The 25,658-nt window shown below is 41.7% G+C and overlaps 1 protein-coding gene across 3 annotated transcripts in view, besides 1 other annotated feature; it reads left to right on the top strand.

The window, feature by feature from the left end:
• Positions 1–25,658, top strand: part of FSTL4 (follistatin like 4) — a 645,613-nt gene that overhangs the window by 212,281 nt on the left and 407,674 nt on the right. For 2 of the 3 annotated variants that reach the window (XM_011543284.3, NM_015082.2), the window contains exon 1: positions 17,246–17,462. The exons of the other annotated variant lie outside the window; for it this stretch is intronic. The gene's annotated coding sequence lies outside the window, so the exon portion shown is untranslated. Of the gene's footprint in view, positions 1–17,245; positions 17,463–25,658 lie in introns of those variants that run through there. 3 annotated transcript variants of the gene reach the window in all.
• Positions 18,515–18,564: a silencer, noted in NCBI's record as "silent region_16347". NCBI's record gives its function as "represses an Ori minimal core promoter by ATAC-STARR-seq in GM12878 lymphoblastoid cells {active_cell/tissue: GM12878}" and the evidence as "EXISTENCE:reporter gene assay evidence [ECO:0000049][PMID:35858748]".

Genomic DNA, 25,658 nt, shown 5'->3' with positions numbered 1-25,658 from the left:
TTTTTGATGTGCTGCTGGATTTGGATTGCCAGTATTTTATTGAGGATTTTTGCATTGATGTTCGTCAGGGATATTGGCCTGAAATTTTCTTTTTTTGTTATGTCTCTGCCATGTTTTAGTATCAGCTTGATGCTGTCCTCATAAAATGAGTTAGGGAAGAGTCCCTCTATTTCTATTGTTTGGAATACTTTCAGAAGGAATGGTACCAGCTCCTCTTTGTACCTCTGGTAGAATTTGGCTGTGAATCTGTCTGGTCCTGGGCTTTTTTTGGTTGATAGGCTGTTAATTACTGCCTCAATTTCAGAACTTGTTATTGGTCTATTCAGGGATTCAACTTCTTCCTGGTTTAGTCTTGGAAGGGTGTATGTGTCCAGAAATTTATCCATTTCTTCTAGATTTTCTAGCTTATTTACATAGAGGTGTTTATAGTATTCTCTGATGGTAGTTTGTATTTCTGTGGGAATAGTGGTGATATCCCCATGCAAGGCTGGTTCAATATATGCAAATCAATAAATGTAATCCATCACATGAACAGAACCAATGACAAAAACCACATGATTATCTCAATAGATGCAGAAAAGGCCTTTGATAAAATTCAACACCTCTTTATGCTAAAAACTCTCAATAAGCTGGGTATTGATGCAACGTATTTCAAAATAATAAGAACTATTTATGAAAAACCCACAGCCAATATCATAGTGAATGGGCAAAAGCTGGAAGCATTCCCTTTGAAAACTGGCAGAAGACAAGGATGCCCTCTCTCACCACTTCTATTCAACATAGTATCGGAAGTTCTGGCCAGGGCAATCAGGCAAGAGAAAGAAATATTCAAATAGGAAGAGAGGAAGTCAAGTTGTCTCTGTTTGCAGACGACATGATTGTATATTTAGAAAACATCATTGTCTCAGCCCAAAATCTCCTTAAGCTGATAAGCAACTTCAGCAAAGTCTCAGGATACAAAATCAATGTGCAAAAATCACAAGAATTCCTATTTTTTTATTTTTTTATTCATTTCTTTATTCATTTTTTTAATTGTGTCTATTGGATTCTTCTCTCTTTTCTTCTTTATTAGTCTGGCCTAGCGGCCTATCTATTTAGCTAATCCTTTCAAAAAAACAGCTCCTGGTGGCTGGGCACGGCAGCTCACACCTATAACCCCAGCACTTAGGGAGGCCGAGGTGGGTGGATCACCTGAGGTTGGGAGTTCGAGACCAGCCTGACCAAAATGGAGAAACTCTGTCTCTACTAAAAAATACAAAATTAGCCAAGTGTGGTGGTGCATGCCTGTAATTCCAGCTACTCGGGAGGCTGAGGCAGGAGAATCACTTGAACCTAGGAGGTGGAGATTGCAGTGAGCTGAGATTATGCCATTGCACTCCAGCCTGGGCAACAGGAGCAAAACTCCATCTCAAAAAAAAAAGAAAAGAAAAGAAAAGAAAAGAAACAAACAAAAAAAATCAGCTCCTGATGCACTGATTTTTTTGAAGGGTTTTTTGTGTCTCTGTCTCTTTCAGTTCTGCTCTGATCTTAGCTATTTCTTGTCTTCTGTTAGCTTTTGAATTTGTTTACTCTTGCTTCTCTAATTCTTTTAATTGTGATGTTAGGGTGTCAGTTTTAGATCTTTCCTGTTTTCTCCTGTGGGCATTTAGTGCTATAAATTTCCCTCTAAACACTGCTTTAGTTGTGTCCCAGAGATTCTGGTAGGTTGTGTCTTTGTTCTTATTGGTATCAAAGAACTTATTTATTTCTGCCTTAATTTCCTTATTTACCCAGGTTGTTCAGTTTCCATGTAGTTGTGTGGTTTTGAGTGAGTTTTATATAATGTAATTCTTAAAGCAGCCAGGTAAAAGTGATACAAAGAGATATACTCAAAAACACTACAGATAAATACAAATTGAATAAAAATAAATATAAATAATGCAAAAATATTATATATAAATATATCTTAGAAGTTTAATGTGAAAGAAGGCAGGAAAAAGAAAACAGAAATGAAAAAGAGAAAACATACACAGAACAAAAAATAAAATGGTAGGCTTAAGCATTGACATGTCAATTAAACGTAAATGGTCTAAATAGGCTATTAAAAGAGATTTTCAGAATGGATTAAAAAACATAATCCTGCTATATGCTGTCTGTAAGAAATTCACTTCAAATATAACATTATAGGCAGGTTGAATGTAAAAGTATGCAAACATTAATCAAAAGAATTCAAAGTACCTATATTAACAGCAGATCATATAGATGATATGGTTTGGCTGTGTCCCCACACAAATCTCATCTTGAATTGCAGCTCTCATAATTCCCATGTGTCATGGGAGGACCCAGTGAGAGATAATTGAATCATGAAAGTGATCTCCCCCATACTGTTCTTATGGTATGAGTAAGTCTCATGAGAGCTGATGGTTTTATAAGGGGAAACCCCTTTTTCCTTGGCTCTCATTGTCTTGTCTGCTGCTATGTAAGACATCCTTTGCTCTTCTGCCATGATTGTGCCTTGCTCCTCAGCCACGTGGAACTATGAGTCAATTAAACCCCTTTTCTTTATAAATTCCACAGTCTTGGGAATGTCTTTATTGGCAGTGTGGGGACAGCCTAATACAGTAGACTTCATAGCAAAAAAAAAAAAAAAAAAAAAGAGACACAGAGAGGAACATCATATAATGGTAAAAGGGTTAGTCTACCAAGGAGATATAACAATACTAAATGTGTATGCAGCATAAATAGAGCTACAAAATACGTGAAGCAGGTACTGAAAGAAATGAAAGGAGGGACAGACACATTCAGTTATAGTTGGAGACTTCAATACCTGCTCTCTCAACAACTGTTAGAACAACTAGATAGAAAATCAGCAAAGGTAAAGAAGAATTCAAGAACACCATCAACAAACAGGATCCAATCAATAGTTGCAGAATACTCCACCCAACAACAGCAGAATACACATTTTTAAAAGTGTGCACAGAACATGTAACAAAATAGACCATATACTGGGCCATAAAACAAACCTCACTAACTTTGAAAGAATTTATATCACGTGGTGTGCATTCTCCATCCACAAAGGAACAAAACTAGAAATCCATATAGAAAGGTACAGGAAAATTTCCAAACAATTGGAAACATAACAACACAGTTCTAAATAATCCATGGGTCAAAGAGGAAGTCTCAAAGGAAATAAAAAAATATATTAAACTGAACGAAAATGAGAACACATCATATCAAAAATTATGGGACATAAAGCAGTTCTGAGAGGGAAAGTTATAGCACTAAATGCATACCTTAGAAAAGAGGGCCAAGTGCGGTGGTTCGCACCTGTAATCCAAGTACTTTGGGAGACTGAGGCAGGTGAATTGCTTGAGCTCAGGATTCAAGACTAGCCTGGGCAACAGGGAGAAACCTGTCTTTGTCACACACACATGCACAAATTATATATATATGGAATATATATATATGGAATATATATATATGGAATATATATATATGGAATATATATATATGGAATATATATATATGGAATATATATATATGGAATATATATATATGGAATATATATATATGGAATATATATATATGGAATATATATATATGGAATATATATATATGGAATATATATATATGGAATATATATATATGGAATATATATATATGGAATATATATATATGGAATATATATATATGGAATATATATATATATGGAATATATATATATATGGAATATATATATATATGGAATATATATATATGGAATATATATATATATGGAATATATATATATGGAATATATATATATATGGAATATATATATATGGAATATATATATATATGGAATATATATATATGGAATATATATATATATGGAATATATATATATGGAATATATATATATATGGAATATATATATATGGAATATATATATATATGGAATATATATATGGAATATATATATATGGAATATATATATGGAATATATATATGGAATATATATATATGGAATATATATATATATGGAATATATATATATGGAATATATATGGAATATATATATGGAATATATATATATATATATATGGAACTGTCTCAAATAATCTTAGCTCACACCTCAAGAGCTTAGAAAATGAAGACTAAAATAGACCCAAAGCAAGCAGAACTAAGGAAGTAATAAAAATAAGAAAAGAAATTGATGACATTGAAAACAAAAACCCAATGGAGAAAAATCAATGAAACAAAGAGTTATTTTTAAAGATCAATAAAATTGACACCAAACCTTAAGAAAGTCTGACAAAAATAAAAAGGGGAGAAGGCACAGATTACCAATACCAGGAATTAAACAAGGACTATTATTACAGACTCTATAGACATCAAACAAAGAATAAGGTAGTATTAACCACTCTATACACACAAATTTGACAACTAAAATTAAATGAAATAATTCTTCAAAATGTATAAACTTCCACAACTCCTCCAATATTAAAGTAATTTAAATAGTCCTATAACTATTAGGAAAATTGAATTAACAACTAAAAATTCCCCAAAAGAAAATCTTCAGCTCAGATGGTTTCACTGGAGGATTCTACAAAATGTTTGAGGACCTAACACCAATTCTACACTTATCTTTTCCAGAAAACAGAGGAGGAAGGAATATGTCTCAGTTCATATTATGAAGCTAGTATTACCCTAATACCAAAACCAGACAAAAACACTACAAAAAAAACATTAAAGACCCATATCTCTCATGAATATAGACACAAACATTCTTAATGGAAATATTAGCAGAGAATACAACAAAATATAAAAAGAATTATATACCAAGAGAAATAAAGAGAAAACTACTAAAAGTAATGAAAGAAATGAGAGACGCTCTAAATAAATGAAGAGACATACTCAACATAGTAAAATGTCAATTCTCCCCAAAATGATACACAGGTTTAACAAAATTCCCACCAAAATTAAAATAAGATTTTCTGTAGATATAGACAAGATGATTATAAAATTTATACAGAAAGATAAAAGACCAAGAATAGCTAACATAATTTTGAAAAAAAAGAAAAATTGTAAGGAATCACTGATTTCAAGACATAACTATAGAAATCAAAACTATGTGATATTGTTAGAGACACAGATACATAGATCAGTGGAACAGAATAGAGAACCCAGAAATAAACCCACTAAATGTGCTTGAGTATTTTTTTTTGTTTGGAAGTGAAATTCATATACAATTAACCATTTTAAAATGAACAAATCAGTGACATTTAGCATATTCACGATGTTGCGCAACCATCACCTCTAGCTAGTTTCAAAACGTTTTCATTACCCCAAAATAAAACCCCATACCTTATGGGAAGTAATTACTCTCTATTCCTTCTTTCAACCACCAATCTGCTTTGTTTCTATGGATTTACCTATTCTGAATATTTCATATTAAAAGAATTATATAATATGTGACATTTTGTGTATGCCTTCTTTCACTTAACATGTTTTTGAGATTCAGCTATGTTGTAGCATGTATCAGTACTTTGTTCCTTTTGTGGCTAAATAATATTCCATTGTATGCATATACCACAATTCATTTATCAGTTCTTCCATTGGTGAACATTTGAGTCATTTTTACCTTTTAGCTGTTGTCAGTATTGCTGCTGCGAACATTCATGTGCAAATTTTTGAGCACTTATTTTCAATTCTTTTGGGCATATACTTAGGGGTGGAATTGCTGGGTCATATGACCATTTTATGTTTAACTTTTAAGGACCCACCACACTGTCTTCCACGACTGAACAATTTTACATTTCCATCAGCAAAGTATGAGGCTTCCAGTGATTCATATCCTCACCAACACTTGTTATTTTCCTTTAAAATATATATTATTATAGCCTTCCTTGTGGTGGGTATGAAGCGGTATATCATTGTGGTTTGATTTGTATTTCCTTAATGCAAATATTCAGCCATTTGTATATCTTCTCTGAAGAAATGTTTGTTCAAGTCCTCTGCCTAGCTTTTAATTGAGTTGTTCATCTTTTTGTTGTTGAGTCATGCAAGTTCTTATTCCTTATCAGATATATATGCAAATATTTTCTCTTAGTCTGTGGGTTGTCTTTTTATTCTCTTGATAAGGTTATTTGATACACAAAAGTTTTTAAATTTTGATAAACTCAAACTTATTTATATTTGTTACTCATGCTTTTTGTGTTATATCTAAGGATACATTGCCAAATCCAAAGTCATGAAGATTTACTCCTATGATTTCCCCCCAAGAGTTTAGGTTTTTAGCTCTTTTGTTTAGGTCATAATTCAATTTTAAGTCAGTTTTTGAATTTGGTGTGAGGTAGGGGTCTAAACACATTCTTTTGCATGTGGATATTGAGTTATCCCAGGGCCAATTGTCATAGGGATAGTTCTTTCTCCATTGTATAGTCTTAGAACCCTTGTTGAAAATCAGTTGGCCATAGATGTGTATTTCTGGACTCTCAATTCTATTCCATTGGTCTATATGTCTGTCCTTATACCAGTACCATACTTTAATTTCTGCAGCTTTGTAGTAAGCGTTGAAGTGTGAGCCCTTTGACTTTGTTCTTCTATTAAAAGATTGTTTTGGCTATTCAGGGACACTTGCAATTTCTACCCAGTTGATTTTTGGCAAAGATGTAAAATAAGTCAATGGATAGGCTTTTCAACAAATGGTGCTGGACATTTGTAGGAAAAAAAAAAAGACCTCATCCTAAGTCTCAGACCTTGTATAAAAATTCCCTCAAAATGGAGACAGATTTAATTGTGAAACATAAAACTACTAAACTTTTATTTAAAAAGTGGAGAAAATCTTTGGGATTTTGTATTTAGACTTGACACCAAAAGCAAGACCCACAAAAGGGAAAAAATGATAAGTCTGACTGCATCAAAATTAAAAACTTTTGCTCTGCAGAAGACCCGTTAAGTGATTGGAAAAACAAGCTAGAGACTGGAGGAAAACATTTCTAAACCACACCAACAAAGAACTAGCATCTTGAATGTACAAAACACTCTCAACACTCAACAGTAAAAGAACCAAACAATGCAATTAGAATGAAGAGATATTTCACCAAAGGGGATATACAGATGACAAATAAGCACATGAAAAGATGTTCAACATCATGAGCCATTAGAGAAATGTAAGTTAAAATCACACACCTGTCAGAATGGCTAAAATAAAAAATAGTGACAACACCAAATGCAGGCAAGGATGCAGAGAAATGGAATCACTCATACATTACTAGTAGGAAGGTAACATCATTCAGCTATTCTGAAAAATAATTTTGCTGGTTCTTTTATTTTTTGGCTTTTTCGTGTAACATTTTTATTCGAAATTGGCCACTTTTTTAAAGAAGTAAACATGTAACTATCATACAAGCCAACAATTGTACTCATGGGCATAGATCCCAAAAAATGAAAATTTATGTTCACACAATAACCTGTACACAAATATTTATAGCAACTTTATTTGTAATCACCAAAAAATAGAAAAAGCCAGGTGGTTAAACAAATGTGGCACTTCCATACCATGGAATACTACTCAGTCATACAAAGGAGCAAAACTATTGACACATGAAACAACTTGTATGATTCTCAAGGTAGTTATGCTGAGCAAAGAAAGCCAATCTACCAAAGGTTACATGTTGTATGATTCCCTTTACATAGCATTCTTAAAATGACACAGTTATAAAATTGAGAAAAAAAAATGGAGGTTGCCAGAGATTAGGGATAAGGGGGGAGGGAGAGAGAGAAGGGAGGTGGGATGGGCATAAAAAAGCCACAGAAAGGATTCTTGTGATGGGACTGCCATGTATCTTCATTTTATACATGTCAGTTACCTGGTTGTGATATTGTACTATGGTTTTTCAAGTTGTTACCATTGGAGGAAACTGGGTAAAGAGTACACAAGATCTCTCTGTATTATTTCTTACAAATGTATGTGAATCTAGAATTATTTCAAAATTAAAAAAATAAAAAAATCACTAAGTGATATATTGGTTTTCTTCCATTTGTTTTTATTTTTATTTTTATTATTTTATTTTTCCATAAGTTGTTGGGATACAGGTGGTATGTGGTTACATAAGTAAGTTCTTTAGTGGTGATTTGTGAGGTTTTGGTGTACCCTTCACCCGAGCAGTATACATTGCACCATATTTGTAGTCTTTTATCCCTCACCCGCTCCCAACTCTTTCCCCCAAGTCCCCAAAGTCCATTGTATCATTCTCATGCCTTTGTGTCCTTATAGCTTAGCTCCCACATATCAGTGAGAACATACGATGTTTGGTTTTCCATTCCTGAGTTACTTCACTTAGAATAACAGTCTCTAATCTCATCCAGGTCACTGCAAATGCTCTTTTTTTGTTGTTTTTGTTTTTTGTTTTTTGTGTTTTTTTGAGACGGAGTCTCGCTCTGTTGCCTAGGCTGGAGTGCAGGGGCATGATCTCGGCTCACTGCAAGCTCCACCTCCCGGGTTCACGCCATTCTCCTGCCTCAGCCTCCCGAGTAGCTGGGACTACAGGCACATGCCAACACGCCCAGCTCATTTTTTGTATTTTTAGTAGAGACAGGGTTTCACCGTATTAGCCAGGATGGTATTGATCTCCTGACCTCGTGATCCGCCCACCTCGGCCTCCCAAAGTGCTGGGATTACAGGCATGAGCCACCAAGCCCGGCCAAATGCTCTTAATTCATTCGTTTTTATGGCTTAGTAGTATTCTGTCGTGTATATATACGACAGTTTCTTTATCCACTCTTTGATTGATGAGCATTTGGGTTGGTTCCACGATTTTGCAATTATGAATTGTGCTGCTATAAACATGCATATGCAAGTATCTTTTTCGAATAATGACTTATTTTCCTCTGGGTAGATAACCTGTAGCTGGATCAAATGGTAGTTCTACTTTTAGTTCTTTAAGGAATCTCCGCACTGTTTTCCATAGTGGCTCTACGAGTTTACATTCCCACCAGCAGTGTAGAAGTGTTCCCTGATCACCACAGTTTTTTCCATTTATAATAAAAGACTGAAAGCCTGTTGGTATGTAACAAGCAAGCACACACAGTGGTTAGGTGGAGGAAGGCAGATGAGGACACTGATGATTCCTTTACTCAGTTTATCTCTTGGTTGAACATCACTGACTGCTGGGATGCTTGAGACTGTTATAATTTTAAATTGGTGTTTTTCTTAGTCATATATTTTGATTTGTGCCCATAATAGGCTGTGTTTAAAGACTAGAAACATAAGGAACCTGATGATGAAATACAAGCTAATTAAGAGCAAAAAATGTTAAGTCTACAATTTTGCTTCAAAATTACCTTCACCAATCTGTAAATTGCATTCATCTGATAAAAATCCTTATATATAGACTATCAAGCTGTCTTTCATACTTCAAAAACAGTGTTAAAAAGAGAAAAATAGAGTGACAATTATATTCAGTTTGGTTTTTCATGTGTTGAGAATAAAGGCTGTATCCACACCCACAATATGTTATTTGCAGAGTGCTTGGAAATAGTGGCCTGAAATCTTTCCCCTCCTGCCATTTATAAACAAAACATAGAAAATATATAAATAAAATGGCAGTGTTTTAAAGCATGAAATTCCAGAATTTTAGGCACCAATTCTTGAAAGACAGTTTTTTGCCTACACTTGAGGCACTGTCAAGGATTTTAGTCCTAAAACACTTTTTTGTATACATTCTATCCCCTAACTAGATATGACATCATTTTTTAGCATATGCGTCAGACAATGATGCTTTATTTCATTTAATTAAATAGAAATTAAATATTATATACTTGTTAAATGATACAAAATGGAACTTATCTGTAATGACTGTATTTTAAGAATGTTATTAATGATTGCATTAAAGCCAATTTTAGAAGATAACATTTAATATGATACTCTGAAATAATTTGTTTAAACTTCAAATCACTTATTTGTTATATACTACACCAAAATGGTAAGACTATTTTAAAATGTTTTGAAGAGGGTTGTAGTGAAAGGCTTGCAGGTCACATATGGCTAGGCAATGCTGATGTATGTGCATGCATTTGTCAGCTTTAAAGCATCCTGTTCATGTCAGTTGTTATATGCCCACTGTTTTTATTTACTGCAATTAGGAAATGGAGGGTCTTAGTTAATTAAATGTTCTCCATAACTGAAAATTACCATATGTCTCAGCACTGGGTTGGAGTCAGGAGACTTCAACTGCTGACCAGCTTGGGGTTCTTGGCAAATAATGTACAAAACGCATCTCGACATGGAAAGTGGGGATGATGCCCATATTAATAGCATTTGCCTCCCATGCTGTGTGCCTGAAGCCATTCAAATAATGCATCGGGTTTTTATTTACATTTCGACTTCTTTTTCATTTGATGTGTTTTCAACTTTGAGTAACAGAAAAACCCAACTCAATTGATTTAAGTAGGAAGGAAAATAAATCCTGAGGTAGGACAGCTTTAGAATGGGTTATTTGCGCAGCTCATTAAGGACCTAGGTTCTTTTTCTCTCCCTGTTCCACCATCCTCCATGAGCCAACTTAGCCATTTACAGGGTCACAAGTTGGTGGCTGTGGGTCTAGGGGTGTCTTATACTTAATGAAAGTATCAAGAGGGAAAAGAGGTACCACCTCTTCCTGTGTACCTCTTTGTCTCCCCAGCTGACACTCTCTCACCTCTCCTCAGCCAGCACTGGGCTCCCTGATCACCACTGGAAAAGAGCTTCATGATTGGCTTAGACCATGCTGAAGGTGAGACACCTGAATGGAACTGACATTCTATATGCAGAAAAGAAGAGAGAAATATACTTTGAGTATCCAATCAACAATGTCTACCATAATTTCTTAGACTACATGTTTGGTTTTGATTTTATGTGACAAGGGTTCATGATGAGGACAACTAATTAAATATACCAATAGATTCAGAAGAGAAGGTTCTCTAGGCACCTATTTGTAGTACGTAAATCCTGAGATATGTGATAGCTGCCATATACACACACAGTGTGTAACTGATACAGAATTGTGTAGTGATTATGAGGACAGGCTCTGAGTCAAATCCTAGCTCTGCCATTTGCCAGCCAAATTGCCTTAGATAAACTGGGTAACTTCTTTGAGCTTAATTTATGCAATAAGGATCTTACAGAGTTGTCATGAGGATTAGGAAAAACAATACATATAAAGGGCTAGGACTGGTGTCCAAGGCATAGTTAGCAATCAATAAACCTTAGGTGCTGGTTGGATGGTAGTGATGACGATAATGGGTTAGACATCACTTTGCACCTCTTGACAACTGAGCATCTGGTCTTTCCTGCTTTCACTCTTGCATCTGGTCACTATCCTCTCTATCCAGTTTGTTCTTCATACAGCAGCCAGAGACATCTGTTAAAAACATACTATAGATCCTTGCTCACCCTCCTCCCCTCCATGGCTTTCCTTACACCTAACATCAGATCTAGAGTCCTTTCAGTGGTTCCCCCTTATTTGAGGTTTCACTTTCACTTTCCACAGGTTTAGTTACCTGCAGTCAATCGCAATCTGAAACATTACATATAATAAGGTATTTTGAGAGGAAGATATATATATCATATTCACATAACTTTTATTATAATATATTGTTATATGTTATGAATTATTGTTGTTGTTAATCTCCTACTGTATCTAATTTATAAATTAAACTATCATAGGTATGTATGTATGGGAAAAACCAGTATATACAGGTGCAGTACTATCCATGATTTCAGGCATCCACTAAGTGTCTTGGAACATATCCCCGTGGATAACGAAGGGCTACTGCATTTGTCAGGACCCTGTGTGATCTGGTCCTTGCCTAGCCCTCTCCTTCTTCTGCAACTCTTTGCCTGGATCCCTCTGCTTAGCTACATCAGCCAGTTCCTTCTTTATGCCTGCTAGGCCTTCTGCCTAAATGCCCTCCCAGCTAGATCTTCTCGTATGCCACGCCCTCATCTAATCGTATCTCTGCCTAAGCACCCCTGTGAAAGAACTTTGTCCTCTGCCCTCTTGAAAAGTCACCACTCTTACTTCCAGTTACTTCTATCAGTCTGGGGTCTCTAGAATACAGAACTGGAGGCAAAGTTTATAAGCTAACACTTTATCAAGGAGAAGGAAAATCCTAGGGAAGCAGGTGCAGGGAAGGGGAAAGCTCAAATGCTGAGCAGGCCACAGCCTTGTAACAAGTGCAGCTGTGTGTGTGCTGGGCCTCCACAGTATCTTCAAAGAAGACTTGGGGCACTGCATCTCCGTAGAGACCATCCAGGGAAACAAGGGGGAATTTGTCTGCTGGCTTCCTCCTGTGCCCAGTCTCCCACTGGTCAAAGTCCAGCCCTCAGGGCATTAACTGTGCTGTATTGAGTAGCCTCTTCAGGAGGTCTCTGGGGAAGCCAGAGCCCCAGGTCTTGAGTCTGACAAATGCGTAGGCATGGAGGCCAGTTTCTCGCTATCATTTGGTGCCTCAGGCAGGACTTTTTTTTTTTTTTTTTTTTTTTTGAGATGGAGTCTCGCTCTATTGCTCAGGCTGGAGTGCAGTGGCACGACCTCGGCTCACTGCAACCTCTGCCTCCCGGGTTCAAGTGATTCTCCTGCCTCAGCCTCCTGAGTAGCTGAGACTATAGGCGCGTGCCACCATGCCCAGCTAATTTTTATATTTTTAGTAGAAACGGAGTTTCACCATGTTGGCCGGGATGGTCTCGACCCCTTGATCTCATGATCCGCCTGCCTCGGCCTCCCAAAGAGCTGGGATTACAGGCATGAGCCAACATGCCCAGCCAGACAGGACTTCTTGATCTGAAGTAGTGGCAGTAACAGCAGAGGGGAACTGGCTCTAAGACTGTGGAGATGGCATGGAACAGTTAATAGGGCCACTCTTGCTAGGAAGCAAGACAAGTAAGTGTCCAAAGCCCTGGTCCAGGTTAGGGTCAAAGAGGTCAGAATGGCTGCTCAGATCTAGGGTGGCCTATCAACTAAGTCCAGTACCATCTTATACCCCTGAAGGTTGGATAGTTGTCTTCATAGCCCTTGAGGTGACCCATCATAATACTGCATATTCATTTGAAAGGAACGTTTATTTAGAAGAATGGAAGCTTCAGCCAGCCAGGTAGCTCATGCCTGTAATCCCAGCTCTTTGGGAGGCCGAGGTGGGGCAAATTACTTGAGCCCAGGAGTTCAAGACCAGCCTGGGCAACATAGGGAGACCCCGTCTCTACAAAAAGTACAAAAATTACCTGGGTATGGTAGTGCATGCCTGTAGTCCCAGCTATTGGGAGGCTAAGGTGGGAGGATCACCTGAGCCCAGGGAGGTTGAGGCTACAGTGAGCTGTGATCCCACCACTGGACTCCAGCCTGGGTGACAGAGTAAGACCCTGTCTCAAAAAGAAAAGAAGAGGAAAAGAAAGAATGGAAGCTCCCTAAGGTAGCAGTTCACCTTTAAAATTAGATAGATAGATAGATAGATAGATAGATAGATAGATAGATAGATTTAGATTTTCACATTATTTATGATTCTATACTGGTGAGTTGGAAAACAGGGTCATGATAAAAATTATGTTGTCCCTTTCAAAGAAAGGAAATTGGCCCCTCTTTTCACTCTCCTCTTAATATGTTCCCTCTTTCATCCCTTTTGCCTATACTCAGTAGGGTATGATAGTTTGTGGCTGTAGGCCTGGCCATCTCATCCCCAATTATCCCTTGTAAACAATACATTCTTAAGAGTAGCAGACTTCAGTTTCCTCCTGTTATCAGCACCTTTCTTGGTCCCCTTGTGCCATCAATCCAGCCCCTGTGAGTTTGCTGGGAATTTGCCTTGGTAACAATGCCATGGTGAGGGTTTTATGTTCATCTCCCTCCATTTTTACCATTCACAATTCCCTTTCCATCACTGCATCTTCTCATTTATCCCAACTTCTTCATTAAAATTCCTACTCTATACCACTTCTTCTTTGTCTCGAAAAATTTCCCCAATCACAGTTGTCCCTTGAATGAATACCTTATCTCCATGCTAGCTACTTTTCTCCCTGAAATAAAGTTAAAAACAATTATGTATGTGTAATCTTAAGTCTAGGATCTTGAACTTACTGCCTACATTCCCTTAATTTCTAGGTGATTAATGAATTATCATCTTAAAAATAAGCATTAATATTAGACTTAGAGGAAAACTTCAACATCATAGCTCTGTTTAGATCAGAATAACTGAACTTCTATAAATACAGGCAAAATAAAGGCATAGACCTTTAGAACTGAAAATGGCCTTAGACATGTCGTTTAGTATGACTGCCTCCCATGTACCCATTCCCAATTCCCACTTAAGAGAAAACAAGTTCTGGGAAAGGTGTGACTCTCCCAGGCTCACTGAGCCCTAGAGGCTGAGGCGGGAGAGAGACCCCATCCTTGTGCCTCCCATCCAGGGCTCTCCTAAGCACAGGGCTGGCTCTTCAGTAAACTGCATGGTTTGGTTTGAAGATTTACAAAAACATTTTTTGAACAGGCAGCAGAACGTTAAATTATGCAAGACAAGGAAGACTCTTTCCTGCCTTTTCCCACCTTCTCACATGACTTCCCAGTCTGGCTTCTAATGGGTATTTCTAGGCACTGTTTGACCAGCCTAGTGGGGACTCCCAAGGGTAAGCTGACCCACAGTTAGTGATGCAGATACTTTTGGTTGGATCTGGAGAAAGTGCCTTGCTTCCTCCTGATTCCCATGGCTATGTGTCATCTCTGAGTATCCTGATATGCAGGTGTAATCTGAAATGTCCTAAGAGACACACATCATTTGGCAGTAGTTTTTCATTATATTGTTGTGTTTTTGGTAAGGATTAGAAATAGAAAAAAGATTTTAAACCAGCAACGTAAAAAAATATTTGGGTTGCTTAAACTTTTTGATCTTGTAAAAGTATATTAATAATGTTTTTATGTGTGTCTCTGGCTGAACCACTCACCAAAAACAGAGTGGGGCTGGGGGGCAGTAACTGGAATTTATGTTTCCTTTTAGCTCCCCTATTCCAAGCTTATTGAATTACATGAAGTTCAAAACTTAACCATTATTTCCCCTAAGAATCCTAGTTGGCTATTGAGAATCAGTATGCTTGCAAGTTCTGAAACAGGGTTTCAGGCAAATTTTGAAATTCTCAGTGTGAAATCTAGCCTATTTTCCAATTTGGGGTGTACTATTAAACAAAAAATTACACTGAGAGGTAAAAGCACAGAGCAATTCAAAGAGGTGTCAAGGTTACTGGCATCTGATGCTGCTTCCCTGGAGCCTTGTTTTATTTTGTCATTCACACTTCACCTTTCTCATTCCGAGGTGACTTTTAATTTCACTCTTATTTTATGCACAGTAGTTAAACAGCTCACTTCAGATGTTAGCATTCTCTCTAAGGAATATTCCATACATCTGGTTTGCAGCAACTACCTTCTTCTCCTTCTTTGGGAAGCGTGTAGAAGTTCAGTGCCTGTTCACTGCATTAAACAGAGCTATTTCTGATCTTGGTCAACCTATAGACCCTGATTTACATATGACCTTGAGTTACTAAAAAACAAAAAATACACAAAGTCCTGCTTTGATTATGTAATAAGGCCACTAGGTTGACTCAGGGACTTTGTGATCAGAGCTGAGAATAGAAATCTGCTTTTCCAAATACCTCATGTCTTAGAGGAGAGCCGAATCCAGCCTCTAAGCCATGGTGTACGTTCCTGACCACAGACTTAGAATTACATTTCAGAGGGAGGCACAGCACATTTCCAAACTTCCCTGCTTCCTTTTATACTCATTTTCTCTTTTCTGTTTCCCAAGATGAAAAGTGCCATCCCTTCCCCAGTCCTGCCATGGAGAATCTGGCCCCTAGCCAGCCCCAGAAGTTCAGTCATGGTGGCCTTGGCAAAGATTCATAGTCAAATCTGAGAGAGGATCACACTGGCTAGGGCCCAGGGTCACTGAGGATGTAGTAGCCTTTATCCTTCTGAGTAAAAATCATGGTATCCACATGGGAAGTCAACCAGGTTTTGTCCAACCCCTCATTTTACAAGTGGGGAAACTGATACCTACAGTAGAGATACGATTGGCTCTGCATTACATAGCTTGGCAGTGATAGAGGGAGAGCTGGACCCCAGACCAAAACTGTGTGATGCCAAGACCGCGCTGGCCCATTCACTGCTGTATCTCTAGCAACTATTAATAGCACAGTGCCTGCTGCATTGGAGGGGTTCAGCGGCAGGAAAATCTGTGGAAGGAAAAAACAAACGTAATATCTCTTTCTTCAGGTCAGCCTTCCATTATTCTTCCCCTTTTCCTTATATTTAACTAACTTCATCCTCAGAAAAATCCCCTCTGTCACCTCCCCCCGGCCAGGAGAGATTACAGAGGCATGGACAGAACACTGTTCACCTAAGCCAGGAAGGCCCCTGGTGCCCACGCAGCCAGAGCAGGAGGCAGGCCCTCAGAAAGTCTCCTGGCCATCAGCCTGGCCTGGGTAGGGGCTCCCTCCTAAGTTTCCTGCCAGACTGAGGCTACGTATGACCATTTATGGGCCCCTAGTTGTTACAAAGGTGTTTCCAGTTCATTCGGGAAGGAAGACTGATCTCAAAAGCTGCTGATGTTAAAGAGGGATTCAGAAAAGTTTGGGAGCCCCAGGCTTGGGGATGGGATCAGGATGGGGAAATATCCTGTTCTAAGGGAGAAGGGACCCTCTGGGCCCAGCTAGGTCAGGTAGGCAAATGTCACTTGGGATTGCCCCTGTATGCCCTGAATGTCTTAAGATTCTGTAGTTGGAAGAGGGAAGATTCAGAAAAGAGAAAACCTTTGCTGTTTCCCAGGTTGTTGGGTCTCAACGGCGGGGGATTTCACCCACTTTGTCCCCAGGGACAGCTCTCCTGCTGTGGTGTACCGGCCCGCCTGGACTCCACGAGCAATGGCCGCGGATTCAGAGACCCCCTGTGCGCCTGGAGAGCACAGCTTTGGGGAACCTGGCCCGGAAAGGAGCCTGGAGGAGAGCAGAGGTGAAGAGGGGCTGTCACTTGCCGAGCTCCACGCTAGCCAGAGGCAGGAGCGCTACGCTGGCCCTCCTCCCTCCGGGCCCTAGATGGCCCCAGCGCTCCGGAGTCATCGCGCCCCGCGTGCGCGCCCGCCTGCTCCGCGCACCTGCCGTGGCCGCCGCGCGGGTCTGACCGGCTGGCGGGCGGGCGGCGCGCACAGGTGGCGGCGATTGGGCAGGCGGGGCCCAGAGGGTGACGTCACGGGCTCCGGTCCCGGCGGCAGAAATAGGGCAGCCGCGGCGGCGGTGGCACAGCAGCGGGCAGCGGCGGCTCAGGGAGCTGGAGCCTCAACAGCCTCCAGCGAGCCCGGGACCCGCCGACAGCCCGAGAAACCAGCCGAAGGACGCGGGGCGGGGTCGCCGCCGCCGCCACGGGGTGCTCCCTCCCTCCCGCCCAAGTCCGGCCACCTGGTCTTCCCCTCGGCCCCGGCCGTCTCAGGTACGCGGGCGCAGCTCCCAGCGGGCGCGGGGAGGGTGCCATGTCGCTGGCGCCGCCACCAGCCGGTCCCGCTGCACCCCACTGGGGTCCTGGCGCCCGCGGCCCCGCATCTTGCTGCAGGGCCCGGCGCGGGCGCTTGCTTGTCCTTACTGCCCGCGCCGGGAAAGCCAAGTTTGCCCGCGGGGAAGGGACCGCTGGGCCAGGGCTCGGCAGGGCTACCCCGGCCAAGGCCAGGACTCGAGGAGAGGCTGGGACGCCGAGGCTCGTGGCCGGGGTCTACGGTGGGGACCGGAGTGACCCGGTTGGCACGCGGGGCGCCACGCAGAAGCGCTCGGGCCGAGCCCGCAGCTCGCGCCCGGCTCCGAAATCCTGCAGGCGCCGTTCTTGGGTTCAGGACCCCGAGCGGCCCCGGCGGAGCCAGGCGAGCGCGGCCCCTCGGCCCGGGCCCGGTGCCCTTGGCTCCGGGTTGGGGCGCCGGGCAGGCATTCTCAGCACCTCCTCCCCGCGGCTTTGCGGGGAAACTTGCGTCTCCTCGCTGCAGCCCAAAGGGCCCGCTGCGCTTCGCCTGGCCCTGGCTTCCCCGGGGTCCGCCGCATGTGAGGCTGGGGAGGAAGGAATCAGGGCACGACCCGACTCCAGGCAGCCTGCGGCGCTGCTTGTGCGTAGCCGGCCGCGGTCCAGAGTGAGCGGCCCGGGGTACCCGCTTGAACGTGTCTAGGGAGCAGTGTGTTGGGGGCGTTCAGCGTTCGGGCTGGGGGCTTGGTCCTAAGAGAGCTTGCACTGTGGATGATCTCCGCCCTCTTTGCGCCCGCAAAACAAAGACGAGTTCTGAGTTTCAGGAGGGACCTGGACGAGGCAGGCACAGCACTCTGCTTTCGGCGCCTGTCGCCTCGAGTTTGGGGACGAGCTGACGCTAGTCTTTGGGGCTCCCTGCAGCCGACAAAGCGGCGCCAACCCCAGGCCTGCCACCTGAGGACTTTGTGCCCGCAACTCTTGCGGGAGCGGAAAGCCGCCGAGGCAGTGGGGTTTCTTGTTTTCCAGAGCGCGGCGAGCCTCCGCGCGGCGCGGCAAGTGCACTAGGAGTGCGCGGGTCAGCGGGGCGGGCCCGGCGAGGTCGGTGTCGCGGCTCGAGAGCGGGTGCCGGGGCGCTGTCCAGCAGCCCTCGCTCGCGGCCGCGGGCCGCCGACACTGATGAATGGCGCGGCCACAGCCCGCCGCTCCCCTCTAGGTGTCGCTTCCGCCGAGCTTTCCTCCAGTGAAAAACAGCGCCGGCAGCTTGGTCTGTTACCTTCGTAAATTTGTTGCAAGCCTGTGCACCAGGAATTGTACTAGATGGGGCCCCCGAGATACAAACATCCGTCCAGGTTCTCTGGGCCAAACGTAAACAGAATTTCAATAGGTGGTGAAGTAACTGCCAGCCAAAATGTTCACCGGGAATGGGCCTGTGTCACAATCTGTGAGGGGAAAAGACGGATCAGTGAGCGACTAGGACTCTTCTTGAAAGTCCTAAGTTATTTTCCTACTGCCAAATTTAGGGGAAACCAGCGATGCTTTTTAATAGTGTCTTCTTAATCCTGGGAGCCAGGCGCCAGTTTCTGTGCCTGCCCCTCTGGCCCCCAGGACAGACTCTGGGTCTGGTTGGCGGGGGGTCCACCTGGGAAGGGAATGGTCGGAGGTGTGAGTGATGCAGCTTCTGAGACTCCAGAGCCACAGCAACTCTCAGGCAGGAGCTCAAGCCGGACATACGAGCAGATGCCCTACAGGGCACGTGTCTGCTTCCCATCTTAGCGTTGTGAGAAGGAGGCACTGCAGCATCACTAGACCATTTCTGCCATACTCTGCTAAATGTTCGCTTTTTCCCTCCCATCCTAGGAAAAAAAGGCACCACCCTCTCCAAAGACTTCAGACTGAGCCAAAGTTCACATAAGAAAATAGTCCACTTTGATGTAATGTATTTAAATTGCTCGTTAGAGTTGTCCTAGTGCTTTTTTCTCTCTTAGACTTTTATGATCATCCTCAATTTTTGTTGATTCTAGGAAAGCTCTTTTTCTTCTGGAAAAGGCCAGCTTGTTTTTCTGGGTATTAGGAGAACTTTTATCCTTTCGGCTGTGCCCTGGAGGTGGGTGAGGGAAGAGGAGGTTGGATTTTTCCACCATGACCAGTCAGTCACTGAGGACTTTTTTTCCTTTTACTAAGGGCCGTAGGACTTTTTAAATGTGACCTTCACGTTATGATCTTTTGTTTGACTTAACACTATATTCAGAGACTAGCATTGAATAGTCATTGTTTCATAAAACTACCTTAACTCCTACCTTGCCTTGTTTGAGTGTTTCTCTGCAAACTCAACCTTCTTGAGTTGCTTATGTGCGGTTAGTTGTGTGCTTCCTAGCTTAATGCAATTAGATATTTCAAGAGCACATCTTTCTTTACATTTTCTGTCTCAATGCATAACATAAGGCATGGAATTTCCAATAAAATAGAACTGCAATCAAGAGCATGTGGTTCTTAAGAGGTATGAGCTGAAGGTTGTAAGGATAAAGGTTATTGGAAGTCACATGTGTGTCTGTGTTAAACGTCAGAGTAAATAGGAATAGAGATTTATACATGGCACATAGAATAATGTAGCCATCTAATTTATCAAGTGTTGGGGAAGAATTAACTAATGATATAGAGTAGATAATTAATAGGAAATGCAATTTAACTTCATTAGGGCTTGCTGCAACGTTAGCTTGCTATATCTCCATGCCTAATTTCCCTGGGTTGGTGTTTTAGGGACTGTCTTAGGAAATCTGTACCACTTTCTTTTTTTCTAAAACACTCACATATCAAAACTAGGGTCGTAAGCCTTTGAGAGGTTCCCGTACAGCCTCCTGGTTTCACGCTGGGGTTGATGTGGCTTTTTTTCCCCCTTTAAATTTGAGCAGACATGCAGAAGAGAATTCCACGTTGTATTCAGTCAGTATTTGGAATTCCAGAATCCCAGTTGATTTTTATATGTTGATTGCCAACATGCCATGTATGAAATGCTACACACCTACAGTGTGTGTAGGGCAGACACTTTTTCATTTGGAAAGGTTGAGAATGCAGATGCTTCAGGGTCACAAATCTGACTGTTCTCTTCAAGGCTGGGTGGCATTGCTTGGTTCTGCCAAATCATCTTTGTAATTTCTGGTCCTGTTGATTACAAAAAGAAGCCATTTCTGTATGGCTAATCCTTAATGGCTAGTCTGGTAAAGTTACCAAGTTCTGGGAGAGAGGCTGAGAGAGAGAATGGATGAACAATGCCACCGAAACTCTGAGGGCCAGAATTCCCATTCTTCCCAACAGGGCTGTTTCCTGGAATAGAAAGAGAAGTTTGTATTAAACCCATTGCCAGTTTAATGGGATTGCTTCTCTCTGGCCTATGAACTTGGTCAATAAAGACAGCTTACATGCCTGTGTGCGTTCTCTGGGTGGGGCAGATTTTGGTATTTTCATATGAATACCTATTTCTCCCTAACAATTTGCATTCCTATTTCATGCTTTTTCAGCTTTCTTCAAAAAGCAAGTCAGTATTTGGAATGTTACATCATACTAACCTGTAATACCTCTGTAATTCTAAATACAGATAAATAATAGCACAGATATTAGCTTATTTTAGAACACCTGAAAATCCTGTGGTTTTCACAAGGAGGTAGACAATCTAGTGGAGGTCCTTCAGCATTGAGAAAAGCAAAATCTGCCTATCTAAACAAAGAATCCAAACTCCCACTCTAGATGTAAGTGTGCCATAATATAAGGAACCAAACAGTTGCCCTGGGGGCAGGATGCCTGGGTTCCAGTTTAGGCCTAGCCACTGATTTGTCCTTGAACCTGGGTGGATTCGTCCACCTTCTGGTCTTCTGGTGTCCTATCTATGCGGCAGCCAGGTTAGCACCAGGTTCTCCTGACTGGGGGAATGTCTGTTGAAGCTCTGGTAGGAAACCACAGGGGAAGCAATGAAACACCTCCCTTCCAAACAAGATGGTTAAAGCATCAAGTCAGTGTACTTTATGACTTGTTTGGAACAAAAGGTAGTCTCAGCTCTTTATATGGGGACAGTCCTAGGTAGATTTATAATTAATACTTAGGGCTTAGCAAGGATTGAATGAAACTTATTAATCTAAATTGATCTCAAAAGGAGCTCTAGGTTTAAAAGGGGATTTGTGACCTTATGGATGGCACCTTCCCAATTCTATAATGGGGAGATTCTTGCATTTGCCTCTATCTGAAGGCCAGTAGGACTATTTGAATTTGAGGAGTAATTAATTTGTTAACAGATTTACTTCTCCAGAGTGACTAGCCTTATGATGCTGGTGCTCTCCGTGAGCTGAGGGGCATCGGCCTGGGATTCTGTGCATCTTTTTATGGTTCCCCTCCCTCCCTCCCTCCCTTCTTTCCTTCTACCGTATTTTTTCTTAGCCCATAAATAGAGCAGCAGTGAGGACTGAGGAGAGTCTGCCCAGGGGCCCCCATCCCGGGGTAGAATGTGGGAATTAAGGGTGAGCAGCTTGGCTCTCTGCCCTTGGTTGGAGCCATGAGGAGGAGAGTAGCTCGTGGCAGCTTTCAGAGGAAAGGAGAGTCTCGGGGCCAGGGCCTCCTATCTTACTGTCTCTAGATTTTCCCCATTATACTAAAAACAACTGTTTATCAAAACAAAACAGGCAGGACAAAACAAAACAGACAGGCGGCAGCAGGTGGGAGTTAAGAGAATAGATGTCGTGGGTCTACGTGCCTGACTTGGAATTTCAGTTTTGCCACTTGTCTGCCACATGGCCTTGGCAGAGTCCTTAACCTCTCTGTGACCCCATCTCCTCTTTCATCTGATTGAGGGATAATCATTGCCCCCATCATGGAGTAGAAAAAGGAGGGTTATGAGTTAATACCTGTGAAGTGCTTAGAACAGTGCCTGACACATCGTAATTGCTATATAAGTGTTAACCAAATAGATAGTCTCTATTTGATTATTAGACAGATAATCAAAATTGATTTAGACCCAATATTAATTCCTTTTTATGAACTGAACTGTCATAAAACTTGAGCTGTAAATTTCCAGGCTGTTGGTGCTGTAGATATAATGAATTGTCAATCACCGTTAAGTATAAAATGACATCTAAAACACATCCACAGTGCAAATGAAATCACAGCTAGTGGTAGACAGACTGAGCTAAACTTTACAAACAAGCTGCCCAGGAGTATTTCAGTAGTTGGCCTGGCTCATGTGTTTTCCTGTTTCCAGAGTTTTCCTGTTTCCAGATACAATCTTACAGGAAATATAAACACAAACCAGATAAAACCAGTGGCAACTCCAGGCCAAGCTCCAGGCTTGGATCTTGGGCCTTCTGAAACACAACCCAGAAACCAGCAGTCTTGGTGCATCCTCTTATGAACTGATTTGGCGCTTGCCAAAATCACAGTTGAAATGAATATATTTTATTTTAATGCTACCCATTAGTACCAAAACATAAAACATAATTGATCTTAGATTACAAAGCAGATTAAAAGTTAAATACCAGATTTTGTGGCTTATGTATTTCATAACTCCAAGAGTTGACATCTGTACATTAACTAGAATAGATTTGGATTATCTTGCTGTTTTTCGTTTATGTGAGCTAGGAGACATGGAAAGGGAGAAAAGTAGACCTTGCTCTGTGTGTTTACTCTGTGAGCAATGTTTGATAGTAGATAAGTAGGACAAAATTAATGAGAATAAGAAGCAATGTCTTTCTAGTTCTAGCTTAAATTTCTATGGCTGGTTTTTAAAAATTCCAAAAATCCACTCGCTGTTTTCTGCAGTCTCTGGAAAGTGGCTCTGCATTCAGAAGAGGATTACTTATGGAGAATAGGGAGTTACCTTGTTTATTTTTAGAAAAATGGGTTGCAGCTCAGCTGGGCATGGTGGCTCATTCCTATAATACCAGCACTTTGGGAGGCCGAAGCAGGTGGATCACCTGAGGTTGGGAGTTCGAGACCAGCCTGACCAACATGGAGAAACCCTGTCTCTATTAAAAATACAAAATTAGCTGGGCATGGTGGCGCATGCCTGTCATCCCAGCTACTCGGGAGGCTGAGGCAGGAGAATCACTTGAACCCAGGAGGCGGAGGTTGCAGTGAGCCGAGATCGCACCATTGAACTCCAGCGCAGGCTACAAGAGTGAAACTCCATCTCAAGAAAACAATAAAAACAGGTTGCAGTTAGGGGAAGACATTTTTATTCTTAGTCCCGAATATGATTTTCTTTTCCTGCTCCTTCTCCCTGTAAGATTTCACACACCCTAGCTAGATCACTGGATCAAGAGCGCAGAAGCCATTGGGGGGCAGGGGAGGGAGTGCCGTGACTGCCGCAGTCCTCACAGTCCTCTCCCGGGTGGCAGCTGAAGCGGCATTATTCCACTCAACTCTGCCTTCTTCAGAGTGTGGGGCAGGTGCTGATGGTGAGACTGTGACCTTCAGATTATATTTACTGACCACCCAGACTCTTTTCCTGGTAGCTCAGCTTTGTCAACAGATGTCAAAGATGAGTGACCGAAGAAACAGATATAAGAGTGGGAGCTTATGGACTCTTTTTAAAACAAGCAGACACCTTCTCTTAAAAGACAGTCATGCCTTATAACCTTGCCTTTTCATAGGCCAGTGCCATAGGCCCACAATTTTGAGTCTGACTTCTCCTCCCTGTGGGCATTTCTGTCTCCAGCTGGAGACATAAAGCAGATGTGGAGAGGCAGCTCTATTTGGATGTGGATAGCAGCCAAACAAAACCTGGAATGTGGCAGGAGTGTAATTGTTTGCCAGCCCTGGACTCAGCACTAGTGACTATGTGACAACTTCCACCCCATTGTCTAAAGTAGGGATGCTCCAAAGCTGTTGCCTATGGCAGTGAGCAGGGATGGACTGCCAGGTCCCTCAAGCACCCACTTCTTTCTGAATTGGATGTCTGTTCTGGACCAGCCCTAAGCCAGTTCATGCTGGATGCTGGCCTCCAAGGAGCTCCGGTGTCTTTAACTCACCAGCCTAGATCAGGATGCAGTGTGGACCATATGTGATTAAGCACTAAATTGTGTGGTACAAGCAGAAATCAATAACCCCTAAAGTTTCCTTGAGTAGGGGTTCTAAGTACTACATAATGAGTTGTATCTGGTTATGTTTCATAATCAGAATACTGAAATTATGGTTGGACTGTGTTCACAGTGGAAAACTTTTTCCAAAAAAGTACAGCTTATTGGACAAGTAAGATAGTCTGTATCCTCATTTCCTCAGCACAATGCTTAGCACATGATTTGGACTTGAATATTTGTTGTAGCTGATCCTTAGTTTTTTCATCCATGTGATTATTTGATTACCTTGAATTGCTCACTTCTTGTCTTTTAGGACTGTATACAGTAATGTTATCAAGTGAGCCTCAGGAAACACCTCAAAGGTTATTGAAATTCTGAATCATTGGATGCTTGGATTCTGCCACAAAAAATGGTTGGTCTTGAAACTAAGATATTAGACCTTATGATGCCATTTTGAAGCTCACTGTCTTATAAACTGAGGTGTCGGCTGCAAATGAGGTGCCAGAGATGTAACATAATTCTTAATCATCATTTCTTTTTTTGAGACAAGAGTCTCACTCTGTCGCCCAGGTTAAAGTGCAGAGGTATGATCTCGGCTCACTGCAACCTCCGCCTCCCGAGTTCAAGCGATTCTCCTGCCCCAGCCTCCTGAGTAGCTGGAATTACAGGTGCCTGCTACCACGCCCAGCTAATTTTTGTATGTTTAGTAGAGACCGGGTTTCACCATGTTGGCCAGACTGGTCTCAAACTCCTGACCTCAAGTGATCCATCTACCTCCGCCTACCAAAGTGCTGGGATTACAGGTTGTGAGCCACTGCGCCCAGCCATAATCATAGTTTCTCGAGCACTAATTGTGTGCCTAGCCCCAAATGCTTTCTCAGGAAACTAAGGCGTGGCTATATGGCAGCCTAATAGAGGTGACCCACCTGCCTCACCCTGGTTTGTTCTTATAGATGTAACGGTAGGTGGCATTTCAAATGGGTTTCCACGTAACAGCATTTATAGAGTTCTTACTCTATGCCTGACACTAACTCCTTCAATCCTCACAAAAGCCTTTCGAGGTACATATTATTGCCATTTTAGAAATAAGTAAACTAAGGCTCAGAAGTAATATAACCTCTCC

This window comes from Homo sapiens, chromosome 5, assembly GCF_000001405.40.
Source record: "Homo sapiens chromosome 5, GRCh38.p14 Primary Assembly".
In the NCBI taxonomy this organism is placed as follows: Eukaryota; Metazoa; Chordata; class Mammalia; order Primates; family Hominidae; genus Homo; species Homo sapiens.
The sequence above is the reverse complement of the archived record's forward strand: the minus strand, read 5'-3'. Positions and strand labels throughout refer to the sequence as shown.